A 6,295-nucleotide genomic window follows, 5' to 3' on the forward strand; every position below is an offset into this window, starting at 1 on the left:
TGAATTTAAATTTCATAACAAGTTCAATGTTAGCACCAATCACAATAGGGTCACCTCTCTATCCTGTTTACTAATTTGTCCAGACTACATTCAACTCTTCAGGACCCATGGTAGATTATAAAAATGGCCACAAATTCTTCCCTTCCCTGAATCCACGTATTTGCAATGTGACTTTGTAGCTATTTACATGGAGAGGTGGAATTTGTTTCTCTAGCTCTTGAATATGTTTTGGCTTGTATCTTTGTGACATGATAAGCAATATGTCTTGGTCTCTGTCAATGGTAATCAACTTTGATGAGTAAAATCAATATCACTTGTTGTCATCATTCTTGTCTTGAGAACATTAGCAGGGCTGAAGTGGTGAGGAGACTCCTCCAATCCTCAATCCCTGGTCCCTTACCCACATGTCTTCTCCCCCTTGAGTCTAGTCCTGAAACATCAACCCAAAGGAAATAATTATCATTGCAGTACACTGGCTACAGCTGGGCAACTAGATGCTATCTAGGGCTGAGTGGACCACTATGACAGCAAGAAAAATAAAACATGATATTTTGACTGAGACATAAATGAGAATGGGAGATAAACTGAGAAGAAAGAGGGTTGAGAGAGAGGATCTCAGAAAATCAGTAGTCAAGAAAAATAAAGGTCCTCTATGAATAATGGGATAATGTAATTTGTGTAGGGCTTTTCAGCATGGACATTTAGGTGGAGGAGAAACAGGAAGAGGGCAGAGGGTGGTGGAGGGAATACCTTAGCTGGAGGAGCAGACTGGCAACTGGACACTCACAACCACAATTCTCCACCTTGCTTGGCTTTAAAATTAATGATATCAGTAGGTTAAAAGTAAGAGGAGAAAAAAAAAGATATGCCATGCAAACACTCATTCAAAGAAAGCTGAAACTGATCAAAGTGATGTCACCAAGATGGCAGAATAGAAGATATTCTGCGCATAGATAGGAGTTTGTAAAAGCCCAGTGGAGCTAAAGATCTAAGAAGGTAATTTTGAGAGTGCAGACAGATATCCAGGTGGCTGATCTGCCTTGCCAGTATTGCTTCTGGGTTCAAGTCCAGAAATAATCTAGTGCCCTAAGGGGGTTAATTACTTCTCTGTTTGGCTTTGAGTTTGCAAGCAAAACTACCTGTCAAGGGTCTGAGAAGAAATTGTGCACACCAGTGCCTTGGCAGAAAGGTTCATCTGTTTGCTGACACCAGTCTTGGCAGTGAACCTGAAAGTTGCCTGGTTGCCCTGCTGCAGGCTTCTTCAGCTGAGGTCCCACATCAGAACTGCTTATATAAGGACCCAGAGGAAGATTCACCCATACCTCATAGCCTGGGAGTTTAACCCTTACCAATGGGCTCCTTAGCCTCTGTCCTGTACTGGATCCCAGGGGGACCCAGTCTCAGCTCTGGTTCCTCTTGCTACAGATGGTGAACTATCTCATCTGTTCTCAGACCTGCTAAAATAGGCATATCTGACTGGATGAATGAGATGGGCTCTCCAGGCTCTGTACTACAGAGGATCCTGAGGGGTCTCAGTCTCAGCTCTGGCACCTCCTATTGCAATTGGGGAACTATCTCAGCTGTGCAGGAACTTGCTGGGAGAGGGATGCCAATCAAGGCCAACAGGGCAGACTTTTGGCCCAAGGTCCCTGGCCAGTGTTTTCATGCAGCCCAGTACTTTCCTTGGGTCTTCTCCAGATCCACCTGGGCTGGAAAGCTGTATCGGAGTCCTCATGAGACTCACAGAAAGCCTCAGATTAGAAAATCTTCTTAGTGCTGAGACAGCTGCAGTGGTCACACAGTCAGGGAACACAACCGTCAGAAAGCTTAGAATGCCTAGAAGGAACTCTGAAAAAGGACAGGCACACAAAAAGCCAGACTGTGAGTAATAAAACAAATACTTAACGTCTTAATGTGCACACATTGTTGCACTTCCACAAGATCAAGAAACTTCAGAAAAATATGACCTCACCAATGAGACAAAATAAGACACCAGAAACTGACCCTAAAGTAATGGAGATGTGTGATTTCTAAGACAAAAAATCCAAAATAGCTGTTTTAAGGAAACTCAAAAAACTTTAGGAAAACACAGAGAACCAATTCATAAATTTGTCAGATAAATTTAATAGAGAGATTGAAATAATAACAAAAATCATAATCCCTGGAGCTGAAAATGCAATAAATGAAACAAAAAATGCAGTGGAGATTATCACAGAATTGATCAGACAGAATGATCAGTGAGCTTGAAGACAGTTTATTTGGAAGTACACAGTCAGAGGAGAAAAAAAGAAAGAATTAAAAGGAATAAACAAAGCGTATGGTATCTATGAGACAACATCAAAAGGAAATACTCAGGTTATTCAAGTGAAAAAGGGAACTGGAGAAAGGCAAAGTGGTATTATTATTGTGTTATTATAGTGTTATTACTTAAAGAAGTAATAATGGAAGGGTTTTCAAACTTTGAAAAGCTAGATATGGATAAGTAATAGATGATGATGATGATTAGATAGATAGATCCAGATATTGATGTATCTATATATTCAGGTATAGGAAGGTCAAAGATTCCAATCAGATTCAACCCAAATTGTAATGCCACAAGACAAATTGTAACTGAAAAAGAAGATCTTGAAAGCAGTGAGAGAAGAAAGCAAATAACATATGAGGGAAATCCAATACACCTGGCAGCAGACTTCTTAGCAGAAAGTCTACAAGCCAAAAGAGAATGGGATGATATATTCAGAGTGCTAAGGGAGGGGGGAAAAAAACCCAAGAATACTGTGCCAAGCACAGTTATCCTTTAGGAATAAAGGAGACAAACACTTTCCCAGAACCCCTTCCGGCCCCCATAAGTAAAGAAATTTATCAGACCTTTTCTATAAGAAATGCTAAATTGTGATTGTTATAGTAACAATTTGTTAATAGATAGATAATAGAAAAATAAAAGTAGACTGCAACACCGTAATAGTGGAGCACGTCAACATCCCATTTATGGCCATATGCAGATCTTCCAGACAGAAAATCAACAAAGAAACATTAGAGTTAAACTATATCTAGGCCAATTGGACCTAACACGCATTTACAGAACATTTCATCCAACTGCTGCAAAATACAGATTTTTCTCACCAGCACATGAAACATTCTACAGGATAGACCATATTTTAGATCACAAAACAAGTCTTAACAAATTTGAAAAAGTAGAAATCATATCAAGTATCTTTTTTGACCTCAATGGAATAAAACTAGAAATAACAAGAGAAATGAAACCTGCACAAATACCTGGAAATTAGACAACGTGTTTCTGATAGATCAATGGTTCAATGAATAAATTAAGAAATTTAAACGCTTATTGAAAAAAACGAAAATAGAAGCACAACATATTAGAATCTGTGTTATATAGCAAAAGGGGTACCAAGATTGAACCATAAAGAAACAGAAAACCAGAATATATCAATAAGAGGTAATGAGATGGAAGCAGTAATAAAAATTCTCCCATCAAAGAAAATCAAAGGACCTGATGGATTTATTGCTGAATTCCACAGAACATTTGAAGAAGAACTAATACCAATTCTACTCAAACTATTTCAATAATCAAAGAGGAGGGAATACAACCAAACTCATTTTAGAAGGCCAGAAATACTCTGATATAAAAACCAGATAAAGAAACAACAAAAAAAGAAAATTATAGGCCAACATCTCTGATGAACATAAATGCAAAATCCACAACAAAATACTAGCAAACAGAATTCAGCAACACATTAGAAAGATCATTCACCATAGTCAAGTAGGATACATCCCAGGGATGCAAAAATATTTCACTATATGCAAATCAATAAACATGATAACGTTACATCAACAGAATGAAGGAGAAAAAAAGTAGGATCATTACAATAGATGCTGAAAATCATTTGATAAAATTCAACACCTCTTCATGATAAAAACCCTCAACAAATTGGGTATAGAAGGAACATATTACAATGCAATAAAAGCCATATAACAAGCCTATAGCTAATATTAAACTGAGCAAAAAAAATTGAAAGCCTTTCTACTAATATCTGGAGGCAGACAATGAGGCCTATATTGACCACTTTTAGTCAATATAGGACTGAAAGTTCTAACCAGAACAGTTAAGCAAGTGAATAAAAGAATGGGCATCCAAAGGGAATGCTTCCAGTTTTCGCCCATTCAGTATGATATTGGCTGTGGGTTTGTCATAGATAGCTCTTATTATTTTGAAATACGTCCCATCAATACCTAATTTATTGAGAGTTCTTAGCATGAACGGTTGTTGAATTTTGTCAAAGGCCTTTTCTGCATCTATTGAGATAATCATGTGGTTTTTGTCTTTGGTTCTGTTTATATGCTGGATTACATTTATTGATTTGCGTATATTGAACCAGCCTTGCATCCCAGGGTTGAAGCCCACTTGATCATGGTGGATAAGCTTTTTGATGTGCTGCTGGATTCGGTTTGCCAGTATTTTATTGAGGATTTTTGCATCAATGTTCATCAAGGATATTGGTCTAAAATTCTCTTTTTTGGTTGTGTCTCTGCCCGGCTTTGGTATCAGGATGATGCTGGCCTCATAAAATGAGTTAGGGAGGATTCCCTCTTTTTCTATTGATTGGAATAGTTTCAGAAGGAATGGTACCAGTTCCTCCTTTTACCTCTGGTAGAATTCGGCTGTGAATCCATCTGGTCCTGGACTCTTTTTGGTTGGTAAGCTATTGATTATTGCCACAATTTCAGCTCCTGTTATTGGTCTATTCAGAGATTCAACTTCTTCCTGGTTTAGTCTTGGGAGAGTGTATGTGTCGAGGAATTTATCCATTTCTTCTAGATTTTCTAGTTTATTTGCGTAGAGGTGTTTGTAGTATTCTCTGATGGCAGTTTGTATTTCTGTAGGATCGGTAGTGATATCCCCTTTATCATTTTTTATTGCATCTATTTGATTCTTCTCTCTTTTTTTCTTTATTAGTCTTGCTAGCAGTCTATCAATTTTGTTGATCCTTTCAAAAAACCAGCTCCTGGATTCATTAATTTTTTGAAGGGGTTTTTGTGTCTCTATTTCCTTCAGTTCTGCTCTGATTTTAGTTATTTCTTGCCTTCTGCTAGCTTTTGAATGTGTTTGCTCTTGCTTTTCTAGTTCTTTTAATTGTGATGTTAGGGTGTCAATTTTGGATCTTTCCTGCTTTCTCTTGTGGGCATTTAGTGCTATAAATTTCCCTCTACACACTGCTTTGAATGTGTCCCAGAGATTCTGGTATGTTGTGTCTTTGTTGTTGTTGGTTTCAAAGAACATCTTTATTTCTGCCTTCATTTTGTTATGTACCCAGTAGTCATTCAGGCAACCTACAAAATGGGAGAAAATTTTCGCAACCTACTCAGCTGACAAAGGGCTAATATCCAGAATCTACAATGAACTCCAACAAATTTACAAGAAAAAAACAAACAACCCCATCAAAAAGTGGGCAAAGGACATGAACAGACACTTCTCAAAAGAAGACATTTATGCAGCCAAAAAACACATGAAAAAATGCTCACCATCACTGGCCATCAGAGAAATGCAAATCAAAACCACAATGAGATACCATCTCACACCAGTTAGAATGGCGATCATTAAAAAGTCAGGAAACAACAGGTGCTGGAGAGGGTGTGGAGAAATAGGAACACTTTTACACTGTTGGTGGGACTGTAAACTAGTTCAACCATTGTGGAAGTCAGTGTGGCGATTCCTCAGGGATCTAGAACTAGAAATACCATTTGGCCCAGCCATCCCATTACTGGGTATATACCCAGAGGACTATAAATCATGCTACTATAAAGACACATGCACATGTATGTTTATTGCGGCATTATTCACAATAGCAAGACTTGGAACCAACCCAAGGATGACCATTCAATAAATGGTGCTGAGAAAATGGGCATGCCACATGCAGAAGAATGAAACTGGATCTCTATCTCTCACCTTATACAAAAACCAACCCAAGATGGATCAAAGACTTAAATCTAAAACCTAAAACCATAAAAAATTCTAGAAGATAACATCAGAAAACCTCTTCTAGATATTAGCTTAGGCAAAGAATTCATGACTAAGAATCCAAAAGCAAATGCAACAAAACCAAAGAATAAATAAATAGGACTTAATTAAACTAAAAACTTCTGCACAACAACAGAAATAATCAGCAAACAGACTACCCACAGGGTGGGAGAAAACATTCGCAAACTATGCATCCAACAAAGGGCTAGTATCCAGAATCAATGAGGAGCTCAAACAAATCAGCAAGAAAAAAAACTA

This window comes from Homo sapiens, chromosome 1, assembly GCF_000001405.40.
Source record: "Homo sapiens chromosome 1, GRCh38.p14 Primary Assembly".
Taxonomy (NCBI): Eukaryota; Metazoa; Chordata; class Mammalia; order Primates; family Hominidae; genus Homo; species Homo sapiens.